Below are 27,482 nucleotides of genomic sequence, written 5' to 3'. Positions count from 1 at the left end.
AGGAGGCTGAGGCAGGAGAATCACTTGAACCTGGGAGGCAGAAGTTGGGATGAACCGAGATCACACCATTGCACTCCAGCCTGGGCAACAAGAACAAAACTCCATCTCAAAAAAAAAAAAAAAAAAAAAAAAGAAAATCGAAAAGCTAGATTGAGTGACCATTAAGATGACATTCATTCCTCTCAAAAAAAAAGAGACTATATTTCTCTCGGTACAACATATAATCATATAACCCTGTTTAACTGTGGATTTTACTCATTAACTAAACTAAATGCCATATTAACTAATATCACTAAATGTGATCTCACTAAAGAACAATCTGAGATGTTAAAAGCATCTCTCAAGTATAGTAACAGAAAATATAATATTAACTAATTTACACAAAGTACTTTCCTTCACATGGAAGCTAGAGAAGCCCTATAATAGCTTTGCTTTTTCTATCTTTAACTACAGCAACACTACTTTTTAACCAAAAAATTTTACTGGGAAATTAATTAAAAAACTGTTAACAAAAAAAGTTTTGTACAAAAACTACTTTTACAGAAAACATTTAGAACTTTAAAATTTCAACTTTCTAGTGGTCATTGGAAAGTTGTGAGATGATTATCTTTTGACCAACATTATTCAGAGCCATATAACTGATGTTTAGAAGCTAAGAGTAACTGAGTTTCCCTAGCTGCCTGCACCTTGGCTGTATCATAGCTTCCCGCCTCAAACCAAACACTGTTTTTTCTATCTAAAGTAGCATTTCCATTTCTGTCCTGCTCTGAGGCCCAGTTTGGATCTTTACTTTCTCATTATTCAAATTCAACAAACCATCAAATATGTTAGGCCCTATGCTCCATCCTAGAGATAGAAAGATAATTACAAATAAGTATGTCTGGTCCTTCAAGCTCTAGTGGGGAAGAGAAAAATGAAAGATATTTAAATAACAAATACATATGCATTAATATATATGTGAAATTATATATTAAATGACTTGATAACTTAGCAATTGAGCAATTAATTGGAAAGGAAGTAGAAAAAAAAAATCTTGGAAAGATGACATTTATTCTGAGCCTTGAAGGATTACTTAGAAGTCCACTAGATGAAATGGTAACAGCACATCCTAGATAGAGGGAGCACATGTGTGAGGGCACATTGTGTAAAAAATACATGGTACACTCATTAAAGGGCAAGTTTCTACTTCCCCATCCAACCAAATGGTATGGCACTTGCCCTCTGGCTATAAACAACTAGAAAATTAAAGCATATGAACCAACTATTTCAGGCATTAGAACAACAGGTATAGGACCATGAGCTGTGAGAAAAGGTAAGCTCTCCAATCTTCCTACTTGGTAACAATTTATGGACAGGGGTATAGGGTAGGGGAGGAACCCAAGCAGAAGTGGAATGCAGCAGCCATGCTAAGCTGAGAAGACAGACTGGGAGTTTGGCAAGGCTAAGACAGCTGGAATTGGCAGGTGAGTACCAGAGAGGAGGGAGCTGCACAAAGAGATCTGCTCAATAGTACTTTGAAGTCTTAGACAAAATAACTCTGGAAAATTATAAGGCTGAGAAATTCCCAGTGTTCACAAAGAACAAGGGTAAGACATTTAAATTTTGTCAAGCTAGAGTAGAAAAGCCACTCTAAACACTGGGGCAACGAACAGACTTCTTTGGGAGGGCCATCCTTTATATCAAGGCTAACCTAGTTCTAGGTCTGTCCTAACCAAACTGATCTACAAGTAATTTAAATGACTGCCAAAACATACTTCACCATTCTTTAATGGGATAAAATCTACTCAACCCTGCAACATTCCAAATGTATGTCATTTTACCAAAAATTTCTAGATATCTGAAAATGCCACAAATTACAATTCACAACCAATAGGAAAAATAATAAAAGCAGACCCAGAAATGACAGAGATGATGGAATTGGCAGATAAGGACCTTAAAACAGGCATTATAAAGATGCTCAAAGATTTAAAGTAAAATATGAACATAATCATGTAAGAGATGGAGGTTACAAAAAGAACCAAAAGGAACTTTCATAGGTGAAAAATACAGTATCTCAAATGAAAAACCCATTGGATAGTCTTTATAGCAGATCAGACACTGCAGAAGAATCAGTGAATTTTAAGATGCAGCAAAATAAGCTGTCAATGGAAGCACAGAGAGAGAGAGGGAGGGAAAAAAGACTGAACAAAACAAACAGGACCCCAGGGATCTATGGGACAGCATCAAGCCATTTAATACACTGTAATTCAAGGAATAAGAGAAGAGAGGTAGGGGTAGGAAAATATTAGAAAACATACCCATGGCTGAAAAATTTCCAAATCTGATAAAAACTATAAACAAAAAAATTTAAGTAGCTCAATGAACTCCAAGCCAGATAAATACAAATAAAACCAAGGCACTATACTCAAATTGCTAAAAACCAGTGAGAAAGAGGAAAATCTTTAAAAAGGCACATTTATAGGTGAACCAAGGTAAGAATGATCACAGACTTCTTGTCGTAAATAATGCAGGGAAGATGACAATGGAATGACAAAAAAAGCAGTGTGCCAAGAATGTAGGGTGAGGTAGAAAAGGACTAGAAGGAGATGAGGTAGAATAGAAGTCAGGGAGAAGAGCACAGGATGAGGGGAAAACAACTCAAAAAATTCAGAGTAAGGCAATGATGGGCTAATATATACTGTGAAATGCCTCCTCCTCCAGGAAGCACTCCCTAACCTCCCAGGCAGAGTAAAGGAGCACAGTATATGGATAAAAGCAGAAGCTTTGGAATCTCACACTCCTGGACTAAATTCTGGCTCTGCTATTTGTAATACAGCACAACCTAAGGTTGATTTTTTTTTCTTATATATAAAATTGTGTTCTAAAATTTATAAACAGTGTAAATAAAGCATATAAGTAATATATATAAAGCTGGAAGACTTAGCATAGTGCCTGGCACATAGTGAATGCTTAATACATTTTGACTATTATACTCTAGTTCACACAACAACTAGTAAGAACTCCTAGTAAATCATCAACATTGCTGCAATCATTTATAGGCCAAATATCCCTTCTCTTAAATGTTTGGGACCAGAAGCATTTGGGATTTCATATTTTGAAATATTAGCATATACATAATGAGCTATATTGGGGGAGGGGACCCAAATCTAAACACAAAATACATTTATATTTCATATGCAACTTACATACATAGCCTGAAGATAATTTTATACAATGTTTTAAATAATTTTGTGCATGAAACAAAGTTTGTGTACACTGAACCATCAGAAAGTGAAGGTGTCACTCTCCGCCACCACGTGGAATCACAGCAAGTTTACACTTACACATACCTGCTGCATTAGCACAGCCCCCAGCATAGTTATTCTATCCTTAGCATCCTTAATTCCTATAAAGGTGATCTTATCAGCTGTGGTCAGCATCTTTCTGGGATAATATATAAGGTCAGATGTGGAATTTTCTACTGTGGCATCAGGTTAGCGCTCAAAGTTTCAAACTTTGGGACATTTCATTTCCAGGTTAAGAATGTTCAACCTCCATATCTATTTCCTTTGCTAGACTTTTAGCACCTGGAGATAAGGGGCTATGTTTTTTCACTTTTTATATGATCAGTACCTATTAGTATCTAGTGCACATAGCAGGTGCTTCAGGAATGATTAATTGATGCAGTGATCATAACTTGCCTGTTTCCATAACAACAATCTATTGATGCGGCTGAGAATTTTGGTATCTCAGTATCCAGAGTATATCTCTAAGACTTCCTCTTCAAACTAAAAGTAGAACATAAAAATTTTTGGCCAATTCATACTGATTTTGGTCTAAAAAAAACCTGATCATCAAAGAAACAGAAGCCACCAAACGTTTCTAAGCAAGAGAATAATATCACCAAATCTGTATTTTTATTATTTATCTAACAGTAGCAGGAGGGATTTCCCAGGATTGAAACCAGGGTGACCAGCTGAGAAGCTACTGGAGAGGTTTAAGCGGAAGACTTGGTAATTCATTATACTGTATAGGAGTGTTAAAGAGGAAAAAGGAATTAAGGATAACTTCGAGGTTTCTAGCTTGAGCAATGAAACAGATGGGGATACTAAACAAAAGAAAAACAGGCCTTAATAGGGCAATGCAGGAGTACTGATATTGACTGCTATTGACTGCACTGATACTGATATATTGACCAATAATGATCTGCAGTTGGACACAGGAATACGCAACAGGCAGCTGGAGCTTAAGAAAGGGGCAGAGGTTGGAAACAAAAATTTGGAAATAATCTGCATGTAAATGATAGCTGAAGCCACAAAAATAGATTGTTATCCAGGGTAAATGTATAAAACATAAATGTATGACATAAGTAACGCTGATGGAACTGGGGGGAACACTTACATTTATATAGTAGAAAAGGATAAACGGCTCTGAGAGGAGGAGGAGATTTTAAAAAAATAGGGCTGTGAAAGCCAAGGAAGAACATGATTTCAAGAAAGAAGGGATAATATCAAGTGTTCAAAGAGAGCAAGAACTGGCATGAATACTAAAATGAGGAGACTAATTTTGGCACACAGGACTGGTGACCTCATCAAAGTATTAGAAGAGCAGATGGCATTAGATTAAAAAGTGAATGGGGTATTGGCCCATGAACAGATGAGTGAATCAATGAAGTAGAACAAAACTGGAAGGTGAGGAATGCTATAAATCCAGACTATTCTTTTAACAAGTATAGCAGTAAGGAAAAGAGAAAGGCAAGACATAAGAGTCAAAGCTGAGGAAGGAATTTTAGCATAGAAGAGACTGAAATATTAGAAAACAAAGGGAAAAGAACCACCACGGGAGGAGGGACTGAAACTCTAGAAGAGGTTACATAACTTAGGAAAAAACAAAACACAGGTCCTAGAAAAGAAAGGATGAGAATTAAAGAACTTAAATAAGGGTTTCAGTCTTGGAAATAATTAGCTGAATCTCTTCCATTGAACAGCAGGGAAGGGCATGAGAGCAACAAAGACAGATATTAGAGGAAGAGAGGAGGGATGCTTGGGGAGTGTGTGTCTGATGGCCTTGATTTCTCCATATGGGGGAGAAAAGGCTAGGTATCTCATGAATGGTAGGAAGTAGGTGACACAGTAAAGATATTGATTAGCTCAGGGGGTGGGGGTGTTAAAAGGACATAAGAGATTAGGTACAGACTTGCCAAGCTATACCATGAGCCTAGCTGAAGATGGAACTCTTACACTTGTACTAAGTAGATGAAAAACGATCCAAGTCCTTCCAAGAATGTGTGGCAGCACAGGAGGAGGGACACACAGCATGCATTCTGGGTTTCAAATGGGCAAATGAGTTGCAGAGGATGACCAAGAGGAAGAGGGAAATAATGTGAGGTGCTGGTAAGAGAGGAATTGAATTAACTACTAAAGAGGAGAAGGAAAGAAAAGGGAAGAAAAAAGTCAGAAGCCGGGTGAAGACTGGAAGAACTGAAATGGGTCCCAGGATGAAAGGCTGAAGAGCAGGTTTTGCAAGAATGAGGAGATTTTGGAGACAGAAATTTCAGGTGGTCTTTTCTGGATCAATTTCCAATTCTACCTTAATCCTATCTGTAATAAACAGAAAAAAACAAATCCTTGGTAAGCAGCGGGCTCCCATATGAGATTCCTAAACTTATTTTTTAAAAAAACTTTTAACCGTTCTGCCATTTTTGGATATTCCTACTATCATAAATTAGAAATGCACTGTGACAAATACTTTTGTGCTTCTCATGTTCGTATTATTTCTTTAGAAGGGATTCCTACAAGTGAAATTATTGAATTAAAATATAAGAACACCATGTTTTTGAATTACATTCTCAAGAGTAACATGCTTAATATTTTAGCCATCCAGACTTCACCCGCTATAAACTTTTAAATAAAAACAACATAATGCCATACACATTATTTTGTAACATGCTTTTTTAAACTTAATATTTTAAATCTTTGACAATATATTTATAGTTACCTTAGCTTTTTAATGACTGCCCAGTAATCCACTTTGTGACATCACTTATTTAACCAACCTTTTTTCTAACAAACATTTAGATTATTTCTACCTTTTTGCTACATGGAGAATGCCATAAGGAACATTTTGGTAACATATCTTTGCAAAACTGCCTAATATTTCCTTGTGAAAAAAATTAATAAAAGTAAAATTAGGCCATGCATGGTGGCTCATGCTTATAAGCCCAGCATTTTGGGAGGCTGAGGCAGGAGGATTGCTTGAGGCCAGGAGTTTGAGACAAGCCTGGTCAACATAGTGAGACCCCATTATGTACCATCAAAAAATTTTTTCTAAAAGTAAAAGTGCTGGGTTAAAATGTATTTTTTTAAGGCTTTTGATACATACTTCAGACTGTCCTCCAGAAAAGTTATACTAAAATGGCTCAATCAATGAATATCGCTTTTGTTTATAATCACTGCCAGTTTGATAGGTGGAAATTCACAACTTATTTTAAAATTTACATTATAAAAATAAAAATATTTTCATCTGTATATAGGCAATTTACATTCATGTATGTCTGTGAAAATTTCTCTTCATATCACTTGTTCATTTTTTTTAAACCAGAGCTGATCATAATACTGAAAGACACAATCACAGATGCCATGATCCAGAATGTAAAAATCCCAAAAGATCAAAATCCCAAAAGATAAAAAATCCTTAAAGTCTAAAATCCCCAAATCACAATCTTGAACAATTAAAATCTCGACTGTTGAAATCCTGAAAACTGAATTCTAGGGAGGGGATTTCCACTGTGTTTTCAGTTGTATGCAGGCTAGGTGCATCATGGTAGGTGCATCTGTTACTGTCTTTATTTGGAAATTAAGTACAGTTTAAAGGAGATGCATTATGGGTGCCAAACTGACAAGGGGTGGATTTATGGTCTTAATTTCAGTTGTTGGCTTGACTGGATTAAAGAATACCTAGAAATTTGGGAAAGTATTATTTTGGGCGTGTCCGTGAGGGTGTTTCCAGAGATTAGTGTGGGAGTCCGAGTGGACTAGGTAGGAAAGAGATGCCTTCAGTGTTGGCAGGCACCATGTAATTGGAGAGAAGAAATATAGAAGGCAAGCTGGTCTCTCTCTCAGAGCTGGGACCAATTTTTCTCTTGCTGCTGTGGACATCAGAACTCCAGCCTTTAAATGCCAGGACTTACACCTGACCACCCCTGCTCCCTACACTCCCACTCCCTGGGGTTCTGAGGCTTTTGGCCTGGATTTAAAGTTAATGATTGGTTTCCCTGGTTCTGAGGCCTTTGCACTTGGACTGAGCCATGTTACCAGCATCCCAGGGTGTCCAGCTTGCAGGCCTATTGTGGAACTTCTCAGTCACCATAAGCACATAAGCCAGTTTCCTAATAAGTCCTTTCTCATATTTATACACATATCCTATTGGTTCTGTCTCTCTGGAGAAGCCTGACTAATAAAGATTTGGTACTGGGGAGGCCCAATATGATTCCTTCTCACTGTATTCCTTACAATACAATGGAAGAGACCTATGAAATTGTTCCTTCAAAAAAGGATGTGATTAAGTTAAGCATACAAGGCTACCTAATGGTTTAAAAGCTAATTATTATTGGTGCTTTGAAAGCAGAAAATAATTGAATTGCAATGGCTGAGCAATAACCAGGCTTTCAGGTGGACAACATATACTTACAAAATTTGTAGATCACAACCACTGTCCAAATACAAGTGCAGCAGGTGTTTCAAAGGTTATAGAAGTGAAAATGCAGGTGAAAAATCTAAGAACTCTTTCCTGCCAAATTATTCAATCATGTACAACTTCTGCCCCTTCACATATTGCACCAATTCACTATGCTATGCATTTCATCTTCGCATTATTTTCAATACTGGAAGTATGAATTGGGTGAAAATTTGAGGAGAGTTCTAATTCATTTTATGAATATTTTGCAAATTTGACTCCATCAAAATATATTATCACAATGTTGATTTTGTGTATGTAAAAACATTGAGGCCAGGCCTGGTGGCTGATGCCTGTAATCCCAGCACTTTGGGAGGCCAAGGCAGGTGGATCACCTGAGGTCAAGAGTTCGAAACCAGCCTGGCCAACATGGTGACACCCTGTCTCTACTAAAATTACAAAAAAATTAGCCAGGCGTGGTGGTGTGCACCTGTAATCCCAGCTACTGAGGAGGCTGACACAGGAGAATTGCTTGAACTGGGAGGCAGAGGTTGCGGTGAGCCGAGATCATGCCACTGCACTCCAGCCTGGGTCACAGAGGAAGACTCCGTCTCAAAAAAAAAAAACCAAAAACCAAAAAAGAACAACAAAAACATTTAAACTTTCTTAATAAATGAAGAGATGTCCTTTTTGTACATCTGCATTTGTGAAAAAAAATTTCTTGAGCTCTTGGCTCTTTGGGCAACTGCATATATGGTGATGACTCACTGAGGTTTTCGATCAATTTTGTCAAAAGACTTAGGTTGTTTGTCGTAGTATTTCAGAGGACCACAGTTATCAATGGAGGTGTACAGAATTATCAACTATGGGGATATACATTTATATATTTCACTTTTTGACCTATTTCCTTTTTTTTTTTTTTTTTTGAGACGGAGTCTTGCTGTGTCACCCAGGCTGGAGTGCAGTGGCACGATCTGTGCTCACTGCAAGCTCCACCTCCCAGGTTCACGCCATTCTCCTGCGTCAGCCTCCTGAGTAGCTGGGACTATAGGCGCCTGCTACCATGTCCAGCTAATTTTTTGTATATTTAGTAGAGACGAGGTTTCACTGTATTAGCCAGGATAGTCTCGATCTCCTGACCTCGTGATCCACCTGCCTCGGCCTCCCATAGTGCTGGGATTACAGGTGTGAGCCACCGTGCCTGGCCGACCATTTCTTTTATAAATATGGTTTATCTGCTCATAACCGTTACATTTGTGTGACTGTCGGTATATCTGAGTGTTATGTTTGTAAAAACATGTATGTTATTACTCTCTGTTTTAGCATGTAAATAAAGTGGCCTATGAAATGTCATGTATTAAAATTTTATTTTTAATTGACATAATAATTGGACAATTTATGGTATATAGTTATTTTTATGTTTCCTAAATAAATCCCCTTTTAAAATGTAAATAAATTTTTTTTGTTTTTTGAGACAGAGTCTCACTCTGTCACCCAGGCTGGAGTGCAGTGGCACTATCTCGGCTCACTGTAGCCTTGACCTCAGGTGATCCTACCACTTCAGCCTCCCAAGTAGCTGGGATTACAGGCATGCACCACCACTCCCAGCTAATTTTTGTATTTTTTGTAGAGACAGGGTTTCGCTATGTTGCCCAGGGTGGTCTCCAACTCCTGGGCTCAAGAAATCTTCCCACTTTGGCTGCCCAAAGTGCTGGGATTTGGCTGGGCTCACGCCTGTAAACCAGCACTTTGGGAGGCCGAGGTGGATGGATCACCTGAGGTCAGGAGTTTGAGCAGCCTCACCAACACGGTGAAACCCCATCTCTAAAAAAAATACAAAAAATTAGCCAGGCATAAAGGTGGACGGATGCCTGTAATCCTAGCTACTTGGGGGGCTGAGGCAGGAGAATCGCTTGAACCCATGAGCTGCAGTAAGCCGAGATTGTGCCAATGCACTCCAGTCTGGGCAACAAGAGTGAAAATCCATCTCAAAAAAAAAAAATAATAACAACAAAGTGCTGAACTACAGGCATGAGCCACCGCACCAAATAAATGTCTTTTACAGAATTTTTTAGGATTTTTTTTCCATAATTATATTTTCAAGATTTTGATCTTTTGGGATTGTGATTTTTGAGATTTTAGACCTTAGGGTTTTTGATTTTTTGGAATTTCAACATTTAAGATTGCATCTTTTGGGATTACGGTCCAAACCCTTTGTAAACTGGGAGGTTCATGTGTTTGTGTGTATTTGCAAGATCTGGTTATATATTCAAGCAACTTTAACCGCTTTGGCTAGATGAATATTAGAGGTATTTTTCCGAGTTTGTCTTTTCATTTTGTTTGGATTTATTGATGTATTAAGTCTTTTTTGTTTTTTTAAATTAATTATTTTTTAAAAGAGACAGGGTCTTTGTTATGTTGCTTAGGCTGATCTCAAACTCCTGGACTCAAGTAATCCTTCCTGCCTTGGCCTCCCAAAGTGCTGGGATTACAGGCATGAGTATTAAGGTTTTTTTTTTTTTTTTTTTGAGATGGAGTCTCACTTTGTCGCCCAGGTTAGAGTGCAGTGGCGCAATCTCAGCTCACTGCAACCTCCACCTCCTTGGTTCCAGCAATTCCCCTGCCTCAGGCTCCTGAGTAGCTGGGATTACAGGCACATGCCACCACGCCAGGCTAATTTTTTGTATTTGTAGTAGAGACTGGGTTTCACCATGTTGGCCAGACTGGTCTTGAACTCTTGACCTCAGGTGATCCTCCTGCCTCGGCCTCTCAAAGTGCCGGGATTACAGGCATGAGTCACCACGCCTGGTATGAAACCAGGATTTCTTAAGGAGAAAGAACAGTCCTTCATTTTTCAAAGCTGTTTTCTGTGCTGTTATCTACCTACTTAAATTGAAAACATAGTAAGAATCAAGACCACTGTTTCTAAAAGAAAGGAGATTAACTCAGACTATAAGAACATGTAAGGATTATAAAATGCCTTTTATTTTAATATTAGTTTGGTATTACTTTGTTAAGAATGCCTCTAATAAAATTGTAAGATAACCTTTTATCCAATTATGACAAGAATTTCATTAAAGAATGAAAATAAAAAAGCTAATATACATGCATCCTTGCAAATTTGGAACATGTTATATTAATAAGAGGAACACCTGAAGATGATCTAGAAAATTCTGAGATTTCCAGAGAACCAGGCCTGGCAACATTATCACAGATGAGTGGCATTCCGTAAAGGAAGTGTAGACTACCAAACAAACTTAATCTAAGAAAGACAATACTTACTATTCCAGAACTAAGATCATTTCTGATGCAGTCTCATAAACTTCATGTAAATTAATGACCCAAGGATTGTCTTGTGCTAGTTCAAGTACAGCAATCTCATGAATTATTTCCATCCGACAATCTTGGCCTTTTCTTCTTTTTCTCATGAACTTTGCAGCAAATTCTTTCCCAGAATCTTTCTTTATACATTTTCTCACCACTGCAAATTTCCCCCTAGAATTAAACAAAAACATTCACTGTTAAAGTTGACAACTTTCCAGAGATGGCAGATTTCAATGAAATTTCCAAATACCCATTGGTAGATATTCAAATTTAGCTTATATACAATCACAAAAGTAGAAACATCACTTAGAAATTTATATAGGCTACATCTATAGATTTATAGATTTATCAAATAAAACAAAATGTATAAACCTGCACAATTCATTTTCTAAAGAATAACAAATATTAAAGTCCATTTTTTTGCAGAGTTACACATAACTTAATTTTTTGCACATTTATACATAAAATGATTTAGGTCTCTAAAAAAGCCAGTTGAAGCCAGGCATGGTGCACCTTTGTAATCTCAGCATTTTGGGAGGCTGAGGCAGGTGGCTCACTTGAGGTCAGGAGTTCTGGACCAACCTGGCCAAAATGGCGAAACCCTGTCTCTACTAAAAATACAAAAATTAGCCAGGTGTAGTAGTGCTATGCCTGTAATCCCAGCTACTCAGGAGGCTGAGGCATGGGAATCGCTTGAACCTGGGAGGTGGAGGTTGCAGCGAGCTGAGATCATGCCACTGCACTCCAGACTGGATGACAGAGTGAGACTCTGTCTCCAGGGGGGAAAAAAAAAAAAAAAAAAAAGCCATTTGATTTTTTAATAGAAATTGGTCACCAGAATCCCTAATATGATGAATTTCACTGCACTAATTGACTCTAAAGAGCACTATCACTTTCTAAAGGTAAGGATCTCACTCATTTATCATTTTAACTAGAGCGTCAGCTAGAAATGTATTTTCTCATAAAGACAGATACAACAAAGTGTTATATTGATACATTACTATTTGTCATTACACTAATAAGTGGGTAAACCAGGGACTCAGTATAGCATACTGATTAAAAGTATGAGCTCTGGAATTAAACCTATGTGGGCTTGAACCCTATAAGTGGCACTTGACAGTAACCTTAGGTGGTTTATTTAACCTCTTTTAGTTTCATTTTTCTTTTCTTTTCTTTCTTTCTTTTTTTTTTTTTTTAAGAGACTGGGTCTCTCTATGTTGCTCAGGCTAGTATTGAACTCCTGGCCTCAAGTGATCCTGCTAGGATTAAAGGCATGAGCCTCCATGCCCTAAGTCTCATTTTTCTAATCTGTATAATAGGGACACAAATGGCATCTACTTCACAGGGTTCTAAGAATTAAAGAATAATATATTTCAATTGCTTAGCATGGTACTTGCCACACAGTAAGTGCTCAATAAATATTACTAATCACACAAACATCATTAAGCTGTGATAGTCATCACCCGTAAACATCCACTGAATCCTTAGGTTGAAAGACAACTTAGAAATCATACAGTATTTTACCTAACACCAAATGCCAATGTCTTATTTCAAACTGTGAGGTAATCTTTTCCACTACTGGGTACATATTATCTTAATAAGGTCTTCATTACAAGCCTAAACCTGACTTCAGTTGAAGGGTTACAGTCAGGGTCCTCTGCTGAGCAGTACAGACCAGACCTCACTCTCTTTTCCACATGGCAGTCTATCAGATACTGAACACAGCAAACACCATCTGTTAGCTGCCACTCCCTCTTCCCTTTCCCAATTTGCAATCAATCCCCATCCCCATGGGTTTTTTTTTTTTCCTTTAAGAGACAGGGTCTCACTCTGTTGCCCAGGCTGGAGTGCAGTGGCACCATCATAGCTCAATGCAGCCTTGGACTTCCGGGCTCAAGTGATCCTCCCACCTCAGCCTCCTGTATAGCTGGGATTACAGGCACATGCCACCATGCCCACCTCCCCATAAGGTTGACTCCCTATTATGGCTCAGCAGAAAATGTGCCAACCAAATCTGAAGCAACTAATCCAGGTATAATCGATCAAAGCATTACATCATTATTATTTTTGTTGCTCCTGGAACAATACAACCTAAGATTGATTGTTAAAAAACTTGACATGTTTTCATATTTCAAATTGGGCTGATAAACTACCTAGATTTTTTTCCACCTTGAATTTTTATCAAGTCAGTATCCTCATACTATATTTTAAAAATGATTGCTAAAAAATTTGGAATAATCAACAGCATAAACAGACAACCTACAGAATGGGAAAAAATATTTGCAAACTATGCCTCCAACAAAGGGATGATATCCAGAATCTACAAGGAACTCAAAAAACGAGAAAAAAAAACAACCTCATTGTTTTTTTTTTTTATATGAACAGACATTTTTTCAAAAGAGCAGCAAACAAACACATTAAAAAATGTTCAACATCACTAATCATCAGAGAAATGCAAATTAAAATCACAATGAGGTACTGCTTTACAGCAGTTGGAATGGCTATTAGTAAAAAGTTAAAAAACAACAAATGTTGGCGAACATACAAAGAAAAGGGAACGCTTATACACTGCTGGTGGAAATGTAAATTAGTTCAGCCACTATGGAAAGTAGTTTAGAGATTTCTCAAAGAACTACCATTTGACTTGGCTATCCCATTACAGGGTATCTGCCCAAAGGAAAAGAAATTATTGTATGAAAAAGACACCTGCACTCATATGTTAATCACAGCCCTATTCATAATAGCAAAGATACCAACCTAAGTGTCCATCAGTGGATGACTGGACTAAAAATATGGTGTGTATATGTATCATGGACTACTACACAGCCATAAAAATGATGTCTTGTGCAGTAACATGGATGGAACTGGATGTCATTATCCTAAGTGAGATGACTCAAGCAGGAAGTAAAAAACTGCCTGTTTTCACTTTTAAGTGGGAACTAAATGGATACACAGGCATAGAGTGGAAAAACAGACCAAACAGTAAGAGAGTGGGAAGGGGGTGAGGAATTAAATACTACCTATTGGGTACAATGTACGCTATTTAGGTGATGAGCACACTAAAAGCCCAGACTTCACCATGACCCAATATATCCATGTGACACAAATGCACTTGTACCCCTGAATCTATTTTTTTAAAAAGCTTTCTAAAAAATTAAGTGCAAGGCTTTAATTGCCCTGTTAAATTCTTTTTTGTTGTTGTTTTTGAGACACAGTCTCGTTCTGTCACCCAGGCTGGAGTGCAGTGGCACGATCTCGGCTCACTGCAACCTCCGCTTCTCGGGTTCAAGCAATTCTCATGCCTCAGCCTCCTGAATAGCTGGAATTACAAGCACATACCATCATGCCCAGCTAATTTTTTGATTTTTTTTTTTTTTTTTTTTTAGTACAGATGGGGTTTCGTCATGTTTGCCAGGCTGGTCTCGAACTCCTGGCCTCAAGTGATCCACCCACCTCGGCCTCCCAAAATGCTGGGATTGTAGGCATGAGCCACCATGCCTGGCCTGCCCTGTTAAATTCTAACTTCTAGGCTTTGATCTAGCATTCTAGACTACTGACATAATTTTGAGTAATTCTTCCTTCCCAGCTATTGTTAACTGCAAATATAATTTTCATGTCCTCCATGTTTTTATCATTAGTAATATAAATGTGGAATGACAAATCCTTAAGCATAGCCCTATGGCTGTTCAATTTGGTAACAACCTACCTAGCAGCACCCTTATTCAGATAAAAGTTCTTTTGTTCACAGAAATATGAAAGACTTCTACAGATATGGGAGAGAGTAACTATAAATGAATTCCTCAAAGAGTAATTAATACCTTTCATTTTATCCCACAAAATCATTAGGCTAACATCTCCATCAAGTTTTAAAAGGTTCCCAATGATCTCTGAATTCTTTTAAGACAGAAAACAATTGTTATTAATTTGATATTTTCATACCTACATGTCTGAAGTTTCAAGAGAAGAGAAAGTTTAATTTGTAAAAAATTCGTCTGAAATGAAGTCTCAACATATAATTGGCAGCAAACATGTTCCTGGTAAATTAGAAATGACTCAGTAGAACGGCCCTCAAACACATATCACACACACAAATGTTTACTGTTGCCACACCTGACATTCAAAGCAATAAAGTACTGTGCAGTAAGTAAAAAACTACTTATTACATAGCCTGAAAGTCTATTTTTAAAGACCAAATGGAAAGACAGCTAATTCAGCAAACAGAATTGGAACTCAAAATTATGTCAGTAGTCTAGAATGAAAGATCAAAACCTAGAAGTTAGAATTTAACAGGGCAAATTAAACACGGACTCACACACATTGCTAACCTGTGAACTGTGGGAGCCCTGTTACAGAACAGCCATTGCTAAATTCTGGGGCCTCTTCCCCATACTTATTCATCTGTTGCTCATGCTCCTCACCCATTCCTTTAGGTGCTAGAATGCAGTTCCCACGGCTCTCCTTTCATATCAATGACTACACTGACACCACCTTTGTTTTTCTGGAAACATTCCTCACAGTTCTAGATTTATTCTTTTCTTTCCAACATATCCTGTACTATACTAGGGTCAGCAAGTTTTTCTGTGAAGGGCAAGCAAGATGGTAAATATTTTTGGCTTTGTGGACCAGAGGGTCTCTGCAGCAATGACTCAAGTCCACTGTTGCAGAACAAAAGCAGCCATACAAGAAAGGTAAATGAATGGGTATGTTTGGCTTCCAATGAACCTTTTACACTGAAATTTAATTTCATAAGCTTTTCATGTTATTAAATATTACTCTTATTCTAATTTTTTTAACTATTAAAAAATGTAAAACATAAAAAATGTAAAAACAGCTTGCAAGGCTTTCAAAAATAGGTGGCTGGCTGTAGTTTGCTGACCCCTGCTCTATCCTATGCTGAATAAAACTCTTCCATCATTCTAATACCACATACCACTGAAACTGACATTATGACAGCAGGTCGCAATGATTTGAGGAAGCATGCATGCCTTCATCTCTAAATGACTGGTGCAATGGGAGGGGGACCCTTCAAACCACTCAAGGAGGAGTCAGAGAAGATAATAACGGATTTCTTGGAGCTGTTCTACACAGCCACATTGTATAAAGAAAACAGGAGATTCAGCATTCAAGCTGCAAAGTCCCAGTGTATATGCTCAGAATTACATTGACAGAGTTCCCTAAATTCCATACCTCAAAAGGGCTCCAACATGCATATTTTACCATGACTTTATGGTAAAAATTGTGACTGTACCTCAACCTTTAACTTTAGGTTATTGAGTCCTCTACAAAACATTTTAAAAATGATGTTTCCCTGACATTATGGGCCATGGTTATATACAGCTCTCTTGGGGCTGATGAGGTCCAAAGGGCATAAGATGTTTGTTGCACATCTACTTTTTTTGTTGACTCAAAAGCCAAACTTCTTCCTGGAATAAACAGTTGCCATAATTTTCAGGTATATTTTTTCATTTCAAAAACATCTATATTTTGCTAATAGGTACAAAACTGAGAACTTAGGTTTTCATTAAATATTTTGGGATGAATATCAGAAATGAATACATTTCAGAACTACTCACTGAAAACATATTCCAGAGAGGTGGGAAAGGTAAGATACATAAACAATTATAACAAGAGGAGGTGACATTTGATTGAGACCCACCAGTCCGAGCTCCCTAAGTCCTTTGCATTATCAGTGCCTAAAAACACTGCTTAGGGAGACAGGGTGAGTATCTTTAGGTAGGTATGTTTGCTAAGGAGTTTGGGCTTCATCAGGCTTAAAACTGGAACCTATTAGAATACTGAAAATAATTGTTTAGAAAAGATAATTCTGGTTGGGCACGGTGGCTCATGCCTGTAATACCAGCACTTTCGGAGGCTGAGGTAGGCGGATTGCTTGAGCCCAGGAGTTCGAGACCAGCCTGGGCAACGTGGCGAAATCTTGTCACTACAAAAAATACAAAAATTAGACAGGCGTGGTTGTGTGCACCTGTGGTCCTGGCACTTGAGATGCTGGGATGGGAGGATCAGTTGAGCCTGGGACATCTAGGCTGCCGAGATCATGCCACTGTACTCTAGCCTGGGCAACAGAATGAGACCCTGTCTCAAATAAAATAAAATAAAATAAAATAAAATAAAATTAAAATTAAAATTAAATAAAATTAAAATAAAATTATAAAATAAAATAAAACAAAACAGGTAATTCTAATAGTGTTGTGAAGAGTGGATTGCCAGTGATAACTAGAAACAGAGAGGCCAATAAAATAATTCAAAGCAGTAGGTCTGCACTCAAGTACCAGCGTAGGGACTGGGAAGAGAGAATATGTTTAAAAGACACTCAAAGTCAAGATTTATTAGCACTCCCTGGCAGGTGTGAGTTGTACGCAGAGATGAGAGGAGAAAGGAAAGGTGAAAGTCATGGATGACTTTTAGATTTTTAATATAGGTACTGTGTAAATGTGGTACCAGTTATAGTACTGTGTAATGTGGTAGGAGTTATAGTTGGACAGAAGGTTGAGCTGCCTTTTTTGGTAAAGAGAATCCCATTTATTGAAGGGATTCCAAATACAAATTCAAGTGTTGGATTATAAGCAAAGGTGAAGAGATAATAGAATATATAACATTCAGGTAAACATCAGAAAATGCACATGCTAATTTGAGCAGTACAAAGGGGAAGTAAAATAATGTCCAAGGTCCTGTTTTATTCTAGGTTAAAGTGCTTTGTTTATACCTTTATTATATTTATGTCAATCTTATATATTACAACTTGTTGTACTATGTCTCCCAGCTGGACTGTGAGTTTCAGGGACCTCACTTATTCTTCATCTTTTTATCTCCATAGTGCCCTGCACATGGCAGGTGTGCAAATATAATCAGCACACCTAGTATATATACTGCTTATTATTTTGTTAAATAAAAGTTTTATGGCAACTTAACCTCATGACATTTAATATACTGGACTACTTGCCATTCTCTCTTCACTGAATTTTTCTACTGCTCTGACTTGCTGTTTTATTGACAATGGCAACTACTACTGAAATTCCATCCATTCTTTACAGCCCAACTGAAATGTTATTTCCCCCATAAGACCTTCCAGTGGCATATCATCTTGCCTATAAAGGGGACAGTGATTGATCTGTTACATTTGGGAATAGCTTCCAGAGCCTAAGGTAGTGCTTTTATGTACTTGATACATAAGTACAGTATTTGCCTAATTACACTGGAGTGATGTCTTTTTTCTTTTTTTGAGACACAGTCCCACTCTGTCACCTAGGCTGGAGTACAGTGGCACTATCTCTGCTCACCACAACCTCCACCTCTCAAGTTCAAGGAATTCTCCCGCCTCAGCCTCCCAAGTAGCTGGGACTACAGGTGTGTGCCCAGCTAATTTTGTAATTTTAGTAGAGATGAGGTTTCACCATGTTGGCCAGGCTGCTCTCAAGCTTCTGACCTCAAGTGATCCGCCCACCTTGGCCTCCTAAAGTGCTGGGATTACAGGTGTGAGCCATGTCTTAAACGTAAAGAAGTTCCATTCAGGAAAAACCTAGAATGGATTTTGTCTTCCTTATCGCTGAAAGGACCAAGGAAAAGACCCTAGGCGTAAAAATCAGTGAGTCCATTCAAATAAGACATTAGCATGCGTGATAAGAAAAGGCAGGGCCTTACAAGTCAAACTTGGTTTTAAATTCTGGCTAACAAGTGTGTAATACTGGGCAATTTATTAATCCTTTGGAACCTGGGATTCCTCATCTGTAAAATGAGATCAATGGCACTTTACCATACAGGGCAGTGAAGACTATACAAAATTACATCTTTAAAGTGTGTAGCATTCAGCAAATGATCAATAATCAGTGGCTATTTTTATTGTTTTTGGCATTAATTTCAGATCTATGATATAACCAATGATAATAATTTAAAAAAAATATCAGAACAGGAGTTCTGGAGGTGAGCTATTAAGTCTACATAATGTGTAAATTCTCTCAAGAAATCTAGTTAACTTCTTACTTACCTGAAGAGGTGACTATAGCTACTTAGCTTTCTAATGCATTTGGTTCAATAATCATATTTTATAAAATTGTGTCATCTATGGTTTTATGAAAAGATTAAAATTCAAATTCTTACATTCATGTATTTTAAATTAAGATTTTAACATTTGAAGCATGAACTTTTCAAAATTAAACAGCTGACTGACTTAAAGTACCTGCCTAAGAGCAGAAGCCATACTTTCCAAGTAACTTTATTGTTGAACCACAAATATGGCCAATTTTCTTTTATCTATCCAAAGTATCAGATTACCCAAAACTGTTTGTAAATAAAATTCTTCAAACTAATGACTAGCTGTCAAGAAATCTTAAATAACATCTGTGTTAAAACAAAGCAATTTCTGCATGGATATTACTTAATAAAGGTCTTTATTTGTTAAAAAATGATAACTTATGACACACGCTTAAGTTCTTGTCAGATACAAAAACTGAAGCTATTACCTACAGCCATCAATCTAGGTAAGGACACACAGTCCCCAAAATACCCACCCAGAGTCCCCTTTCAGTTTGAATATTCTCTTATTCTCTGATAAAAATCCTCTCTTGTCCCTATTACCCCTGACTGCTCTGAGGAGAATGAGATAGGACATCCCTAATTTACTTTAAGGCCCCAGTGGGAACTTAACTATATGACACTGAAGCTTGGTCATGTTTGTTCCAATGTAGAACTCATTAACAGATCCTTTCCCCTGTCTCTACTAAAAATACAAAAAATTAGCCAGGCATGGTGGCAGGCGCCTATAGTCCCAGCTACTCGGGAGGCTGAGGCAGGAGAATGGCGTGAACCCAGGAGGCGGGTCTTGCGGTGAGCTGAGATCGCGCCACTGCACTCTAGCCTGGGCGACAGAGCGAGACTCCATCTCAAAAAAAAAAAAAAAAAACAAAAAACAATAAAAACATATCATTTCATTAAAATGACAGGAAATTGCTTTAGTCATAAGATACAGACTACAAATTATTCTTTGAAAAACATGTGTGGTGTAATGGGAATGATTTCAAAGTCAGGAGTCCCAGCTCTGTTATCTCTCACAAGACTTTTAAATCTGTCTTTGTTTTCTCATCTGAAAAATGGGGCTTTCCAAACAGGCTTGTGGTGAGAATCAATGAGATAATGCATGTGAAAGCACTTGTAAAACTGTAAGGCCTGCACATTATAAAGTACCTGTTTCAGATGGGAACTTGTATTTGTAACTTTTTTCCTTAGGAAAATCCAACTATTAGCATGTACTAATATTTTTAAAGTGTTCTTTTGGCTTAAAATATTTTTTTCTTAAGAAAAAATTTATCGGTATATTAAAAACATTAAAGTTGAGGACTAGATAATGAAAACAAATGTAAGGCAAATCATTTGCTATGAAACTGGTGTTATCTTTAAGTTCCTTGAAACATCTTTCTGTTTCTATATTATCAATAAACTCAAGGGAAATCAACACGAAAAAATTATCAGAACCCAAGGTCATTTCTCTTGTGTGCCCCAGTAACGAAATCATTAATGTGGTTTACATTGGCATACATCCTGACTCAAAGAAAGGTAACAAGCCTTAACCAGTCAAGCTTCAAGCAATAAAAGAATGTTTTACATCATATATTTACCCTTATTTACGCTGCTATGGACTCTGTTGGAGACATGAAAGAATGCAACATTTCTTAAATGATCAACATCACATCCTGTCATTACTCTGGAATCAATGTTGACCATTTAAAAAATTCTCTTTGAACAGTCATCTCATTGAAAGTTTTAGATCTGTGATAACATAGTAGCACCTGAAAAAGAATGATTTGTTTGAACAGTTAACTCATCACACCCCTTCTGCATTTTACTAAATGAAAGGCCATAGAATAAAATGAAAAAAAAAATCTGTTTTTCTTCCCACATCATTAAACTATTAACACGGGTATTCTCCAAGTTCTTTATCAGCGTGAGATTAATTAGTTATATCAGAAATGCAACCAGAGTTAATTGTTGGAAAAATAGGTTTTCTATCTTATCAAAGATGAAGCAGAGACACACTTAGCTATGTTAAAACCATAAATACAGGCAAAGTTTATAAAACTTAAACAAGGACTGCTTATACACAAACAGAACTTTTCCTTCCTGAGACTTCTGAACAGTTCCTGTGACTTCATTACTTTTGCCAGACATAGAGGCATTTTTTGAGATTGTGCAGGTTTTCTTTTTGGGTTACATTTAAAATAATAACATTTATTGAATTACACCATGAATTACATTTATTGAGTGCTTCCCCTAAGCTAAGCACAGCCTTAAGGCTATGTGTTTTACTTAATTCTCTCACCAACCCTATGAGGCAATAAACGGTTAGGTAATGCACTCAAGTCCACATAACTAGTAAGAGCCAAGATTCAATCTCACACTGTCTGACTCCAAAGCCAATGTTCTTAAGCACTGCATTAAACTCCTATGCGATAAAAAAGGGTGCCACAAGGGAAAGAATAGATTTAATTTTATTTTTCAGTTCCAGGCTCTTATATCAAGTATTTATCTAATAACTGCATTGTTATGCAGCTTTACAATCTACTCCTTTTGTAAAGAAATTTATGTAAGAAAAGATATGTAGAAGATATCACAATCTTAAAAAAAAACCTGATCGGAAAGCTAATTTTATAATGGAGTTTAAAACAAAAGTTGAAAGAAACATTCCTGAAGGAATTGGTACCATAACACCTGGTGGGGTGCAAATCAGTTTCCAGATTATAACATCTCCAAGACAGTGCTTGCCACCTGAAGACATTCGTTTTGTAATATTTGCACCGGTTTTCCTTGTGGAATGAAGCCAGACAACCAAATAATGGAAAAACGTAGTTTTCCTTTTTTTTTTTGGAGATGGAGTCTCACTCTGTCACCCAAGCTGGAGTGCAACGGCGCGATCTTGGCTCACTGCAACCTCCGCCTCCCGGGTTCAAGTGATTCGCCTACCTCAGCCTCACGAGTAGCTGGGATTACAGGCGCCCACCACCAGGCCCAGCTAATTATTGTATTTTTGGTACAGACGGGGTTTCACCATGTTGGCCAGGCTGGTCTGGAACTCCTGACCTCAGGTGATCCACCCGCCTCAGCCTCCCAAAGGGCTGGGATTATGGGCGTGAGCCACTGCGCCCGGCCAGTTTTCCTTTTTTCAGGTAATAGGGGTTACTTCAGAATGTTTGGAATGTCGACAAATTAGAATACACAGCTAAGTCACAGCTCCCTTCATCTTTTGTCACAAAGTATGCACAGATCCAGTCAACTAGGGCCTAGCAGTGAAGTAAATCTTGTTCCTGAAAGGTGTTTTTCCTTTTGTTAACATTTAGGAATAAGTAAGACTTTGTTAAGGTAGGATTCCACCCTCCCTACACCCCCACCCCCCAAAAAAAACTATTTCCAAAAGTTACCTTAATATGTGTAAGGCAGTGTGTTTTTAACATTATAACCAATGTTACATTGTTTGCCTTTCCAAGACCCCAGCTGAAGGCTGTTCCAACTGTCAGGCCCTTTCCCATTACAACATGGTGCTATTTTGCAACCATGACAAATGCTGGCAATAATGCGAACATTTACTGAACGCCATGTGGCAAGCCCAGTGGTATGCGCTTGACAAGCATGGCATCTTCAGGCCACCTCTGAGGTAGGTACTGTCATCATTATACGATTTTACGGATGAGGAAAGTGAGGCTGGAGAGTCTAACCCCTCCAAAGGCAAACACAGCAAGAAGGGCACGAATATGAACTCAGGTCTGCCCCCAAAGCCAGAGTATTTAACAACTTCTTCAAACTGTTCTCAAGGAAGAGTCGCCAAACCCCACAAAAATCACTCGATCACCCCTCTTCAGCATACAAAATGTAAAGCATCCGAACAGCCTGCACCTGCAACTTTACAGACCAAGTTGTAAGCTCTCTCTACTCCCACAAAAAAAGGGTGGGCTAGCGTGGGGTGGGGGGAGAAGGCAAGAATCGGTTCCCAGCAAAGTAAAAAGCGAGAAAAGGGCCAAGCGCCCACGAAAGAAACCAATCTAAACTCGAAGCAAAGGGACCTAAATGCTTTAGAACTAAAACGGCAGAAAACCAACCAAGAAAACGAAAATGAATTCAGCAGAAGACCGACACAAGGTAACAGAGCGCCGGTGCAAAGGAAGCGGTCACAACGGATGCTGTATTTTATTAAAACCACACAGGCAGACCAAGAAAGTCGCAAGAGTTGAAGGAAAAATGCAAAGTCGGCTCCACAGACCTCTGGTTTTCAGACCCGCTGCTCGGGGTGAAAGGCAGAGCGCGGCCCGCACCTTCTCTCGTTAAATAGCCATTCGAAACGCCACAGAGAACGAAAGGGCTGAGGAAAGTGTCCGCGCCTCCGGGACCGCCATCGAGTTACCACCACTCGCTTGCTGGGCGCGGCGCGTGGAGGGGGCGCTGGTGCGACTCGGCTGCCCTACTTGCCGTCGGCACCCAAGTTTGTGCCAAGTCACAACGCGCGTTATCGGCAGCAGCAACGCCACTTCAGCCTCGCCGCCGCGGCGCCGGCACTTATCGGCGCCCACGTCCCGCCCCGCGCGTCCGGGAAGGTTCCGCGCCGGGCCCCGCCCGTCCTCACCTGCCCAGCTCCCGGCCCGGGCACAGGCTGTAGCCGTCCTGGAAGGGCTCGGTGCGCACCACGGCGCGTATCTCTGTCAGCAGCCCGCGGGCCTGGGGCGGCGGCGGCGGCCGGCACGGCCCGCTCAGACCCCGGCCTGCCCGGCCCGAGCCTGAGGTGGCGCCTGGGGAGGAGCCGCCGCTGCCTGGCTTCTCCAAAGGGATCATGGTGTTCAGGCCCGCTTCTTTCCTGGCCGCCTGTTCACTCCGAGCAGCCGGAGGGTCACGGACCCGCCCCCGGCTCCTAGTGCCGGTCCGCGGAGCCTTCAAACACCCGCTCTCCCCAGCGCGGCGCTCGGACTGCGGCAGGCAGACTACCGGTAGCTCGGGCCCGCCCCGCGCCCCGCGACCGGCCCCGCCCCCGTGACCGCCCCGCGCCTGCCCTGCACCCTGCTTCTGGCCCCGGCCAACCCCTCCCCACGTCCGCCCCGCGCCCGACCCCGCCCCGGCCTCACTCCGTGGCCGCCCGCCCCCTCGCTGAGCTCCCGCGGGGTCCTGAGCGCCCGATGCCTCACGCGCGCCCTCTGCAGCTCAGGGGGAGAAGGTGCAGCTTTCGGGACGGCCCGGAGGCTGGAGGCGACTCACAGCACCACCCTTTGGCCAGGACAGCCTACTGCGTTAGCAGAGTTGCGCACCTGTTGAGCGTCTGAGAGTCACAAAAGCTGACCTTCGGTTAATAAAAGGCATTTGAGCTGTAAGCGGGACTTCACGTGGTGAGGAGGGGAGGGGTCTGGAGGCACTTCGGTTAATAAAAGGCATTTGAGCTGTAAGCAGGACTTCACGTGGTGGGGAGGGGTGATGAGATCCTGATCTCCGTACACTGGGAGAGGGGTCTGGAGGCAGAGTTGTATAAATATTATTAACCCTGCACACCGGCCCTATGAAATAGACACTATTATATTGTCTGTAGTCGTCTCTATATTTACTTTCGAGGTCCTCTCATCCGGTCTTACGACTTTAATTACCATCTATATGCTCATGACTACAGAATTTGTATCTCTAGCTTCCAAATATTCCCTGAACTTCAGACTGGTGTATTTGACTATGCATTTGGCATCTCCACTTACATGTCAAATTAGCATCTCAGACTTAACATACACAAAAGTAAGTTGCTGATTGGTCTTCATGAATGCACTCCTACCCAGCTTTCCCCGTCTCAGTTTTCTTCATCTCCTTCCTTCTAGCTGTTCAGGCCAAAAATCTTGGGATGAGCATTGATTCCTCTCTCATGCTCATCTCCAGTTTGTCAGTAAACCCTCTTGTCTTTTCCTTCAAACTAGATGCGGCGTTTGATCACTTCTCTCTATTTCCACCTTACCACCATGGCCTGAGCCATCGTTATCTCTTACCTGGATTATTGTGATAGTTTACTAACTGGACCACCTGCTTCCATCCTTCTTTCTCCCTAATGTCGCATAGTTCATTTTCAAGGCAATGAGAGTGATCTTTTAAAAATCGAAACCAAATCACACCACTGCTCTACTCAGACTGTCTCAGTGGAGTTTTGCTTCTGGCACTGATATACTAGTTTATTTGTGTTCAATATTCTCACTAAGAAAAAATAGAAAAGTTGACAAAAGTTAAAAATTTCCTCTCCCAGCAAGGACTTGGATGACTGAAATCCTGGAAAGATAGGCAGCTCAGAAAGCCACCACTTTTCCCATGAGGTATTTGATGATTTTAAAGCCATGGCTGAAAGAGTGAGAAAGTAAGCAGAGCTTTCAGTCATCTCATGGGGTTGGGGAGACAAAAAAAAAATTGGAGTTTAGGACCTATTTATGATGAGGGGCTGGTAAGCAACTAGGCTTTCAGCTGGGACTCCGAAGAGCTATACCCTAGGGGTGTGGATGAACGGGAAATAGACCCAAGGGCTGAAAACCAGCTTCAAATGGCAACAGTAAATATTCTCTCTGGGGAAAAAAAGCATCATTCAGAGCAACACATTACCCATATAATATTTTATACACCATGTCTGAAACTTAATTTAAACAAAGGACACAGAATTGTCTTAAAAACTAAGGGAAAAAGAAAACAGAAATAAACACACAGAAGATCCAGATATTAAAGTTTAAAGACAGATTTTAAAATAATTCTGTTAAATATCTTCAAGAAATTAAATTGCAAGATAAAGAGTTTTCAGCAGAGAACTGGAAACTCCAAAGAAGAATACAATGGAATTTTGGAATTGGAGAAAAAAACACACTAACTAAAACTACTACAGAATTATGGGCTTAATAACAGATGAGATACAACTTAAGCAAGAATTAGTGAAGCTAATAAGCAAAACAAAATATGAAAAATGACATACAAGAGATATGAAAGAACTTTCTATAAAAGAGATAAGGTCTCAGAAAGGAGACTATGACACATGTGATATGTGGTAAAACATTCTAACACACACGTAATTGGAATATCAGGAAGAGAGGTGAGAGAAAAAAGGAAAAGAAGCAGTATTTGAAAAGATAACGGCTGGAAATTTTTTAAAACTAATGAACAACAATTCTCAGAGTCAAGAAACATTATGAACATAGAGCAGGATTTCAAGCAAAGAAAACCATGTCTAGGCACATTGTAAACTACTGAGAAACAAAATCAAAAAGAAAAGGTTTAAAATCAGCAAAGAAAACAGAGATATAATCTGCAAATGAGCAACAATAAAATTAAAAGCTTATTCTCAAAGAACCAATGGAAGCCTAAACACCTTCAAATGTTTTCAAAGCGCTAGGAGAAATTACCTATCAACCTATATTATATACCCAGTAAAAATGATCTTCAAAATTGAAAATAAAATACAGCCAGTTTTATAACCAAGAAACACTAAGATCATCAGCTGATTTACATTAAAGGAAATTCCAAAAGGAGTTTTTCAGGCAGATGGAATATAATCCCAAATGAAATCATGGAGACATCTAAAGGAATGAAGAGCAATCAATCCTTTTATATATGGATAGATATAAATACATATATATATATGGATAGATATAAATAAACACAATTTATATAAAACAATAAAAATAACGTCATGTGAAGTTTAAATATATGTAGAATTAAAATATACACAATAGCAGCACAAAAAGTGAGATAGAGTAAATGAAAGTAAAGTGTTCTAAAGTCCTAGGATTGTATAGGAATTGATAAAAGTACTTGGCTTTAATACATCAATAATGAATATTATAATCTCTAGAATAACAGCAAAAGTAATAGAAAAAGAATGAATAACATGTAAAAAAGAGGGGAAATGAAAAAATAAAAAATAAAAGAAGCAAGAAAGGGAAAAAAGGAACACAGACAAGTAGAAACAAATAGATGATCACTTTGGGAAGCCAAGGAGGGTAGATCACCTGAGGTCAGGAGTTCGAGACCAGCCTGGTCAACATAGTGAAACCCCCATCTCTATTAAAATAAAACACAAAAAACGAGCTAGGCGTGGTGGTGGGCACCTGTAGTCCCAGCTACTCGGGAGGCTGAGGCAGGAGAATCACTTGAACCCAGGAGGCGGAGGCTGCAGTGAGCCGAGATTGTACCACTGCACTCCAGCCTGGGCAGCAGAGTGAAACTCTGTCTCAAAAAAAAAAAAAAAGGTAAATTTTTTAAAACAGGAGGGTTTTTTGGCAAGTACATTAAATATAAATGGAATCTATACTCCAGTTAAAAGGCAAATGCTATGGACAGAATTAAAAATAATATCAATTATATGTTGCTTGTAAGAGACACCTCAAATAAAAGGCTACAGAAAGATTGAAAGGATGGAAAGAATTATGCCATGTAAATACAGGCATATCTCATTTTATTGCAATTTGCTTTATTGCACTTTGCAGATATTACATTTTTTACGAACTGAAGGT

General features: G+C 39.0%; 1 protein-coding gene across 2 annotated transcripts in view, besides 4 other annotated features; it reads right to left on the bottom strand.

The window, feature by feature from the left end:
• Positions 1-23,941, bottom strand: part of STK17A (serine/threonine kinase 17a) — a 44,272-nt gene extending 20,331 nt beyond the window's left edge. The window contains exons 1-2 of one of the 2 annotated variants that reach the window (NM_004760.3): positions 23,600-23,941; positions 10,936-11,148 (exon numbers count right to left, since the gene is read on the bottom strand). In NM_004760.3, coding sequence (NP_004751.2) covers positions 10,936-11,148; positions 23,600-23,805 — 419 coding nt within the window. In that variant the 5' untranslated portion in view covers positions 23,806-23,941. Of the gene's footprint in view, positions 1-10,935; positions 11,149-23,239; positions 23,322-23,599 lie in introns of those variants that run through there. The other variant, XM_017012792.2, reaches the window with a different exon arrangement.
• Positions 20,064-20,123: an enhancer, noted in NCBI's record as "active region_25911". NCBI's record gives its function as "activates an Ori minimal core promoter by ATAC-STARR-seq in GM12878 lymphoblastoid cells {active_cell/tissue: GM12878}" and the evidence as "EXISTENCE:reporter gene assay evidence [ECO:0000049][PMID:35858748]".
• Positions 22,852-22,961: an enhancer, noted in NCBI's record as "active region_25910". NCBI's record gives its function as "activates an Ori minimal core promoter by ATAC-STARR-seq in GM12878 lymphoblastoid cells {active_cell/tissue: GM12878}" and the evidence as "EXISTENCE:reporter gene assay evidence [ECO:0000049][PMID:35858748]".
• Positions 23,092-23,141: an enhancer, noted in NCBI's record as "active region_25909". NCBI's record gives its function as "activates an Ori minimal core promoter by ATAC-STARR-seq in GM12878 lymphoblastoid cells {active_cell/tissue: GM12878}" and the evidence as "EXISTENCE:reporter gene assay evidence [ECO:0000049][PMID:35858748]".
• Positions 23,542-24,321: a silencer, noted in NCBI's record as "silent region_18124". NCBI's record gives its function as "represses an Ori minimal core promoter by ATAC-STARR-seq in GM12878 lymphoblastoid cells {active_cell/tissue: GM12878}" and the evidence as "EXISTENCE:reporter gene assay evidence [ECO:0000049][PMID:35858748]".

The sequence above is a fragment of the Homo sapiens genome, chromosome 7, assembly GCF_000001405.40.
Source record: "Homo sapiens chromosome 7, GRCh38.p14 Primary Assembly".
Classification (NCBI taxonomy): domain Eukaryota; kingdom Metazoa; phylum Chordata; class Mammalia; order Primates; family Hominidae; genus Homo; species Homo sapiens.
Note: the sequence above shows the minus strand (reverse complement) of the source record. Positions and strands in the feature narration are given on the sequence as shown.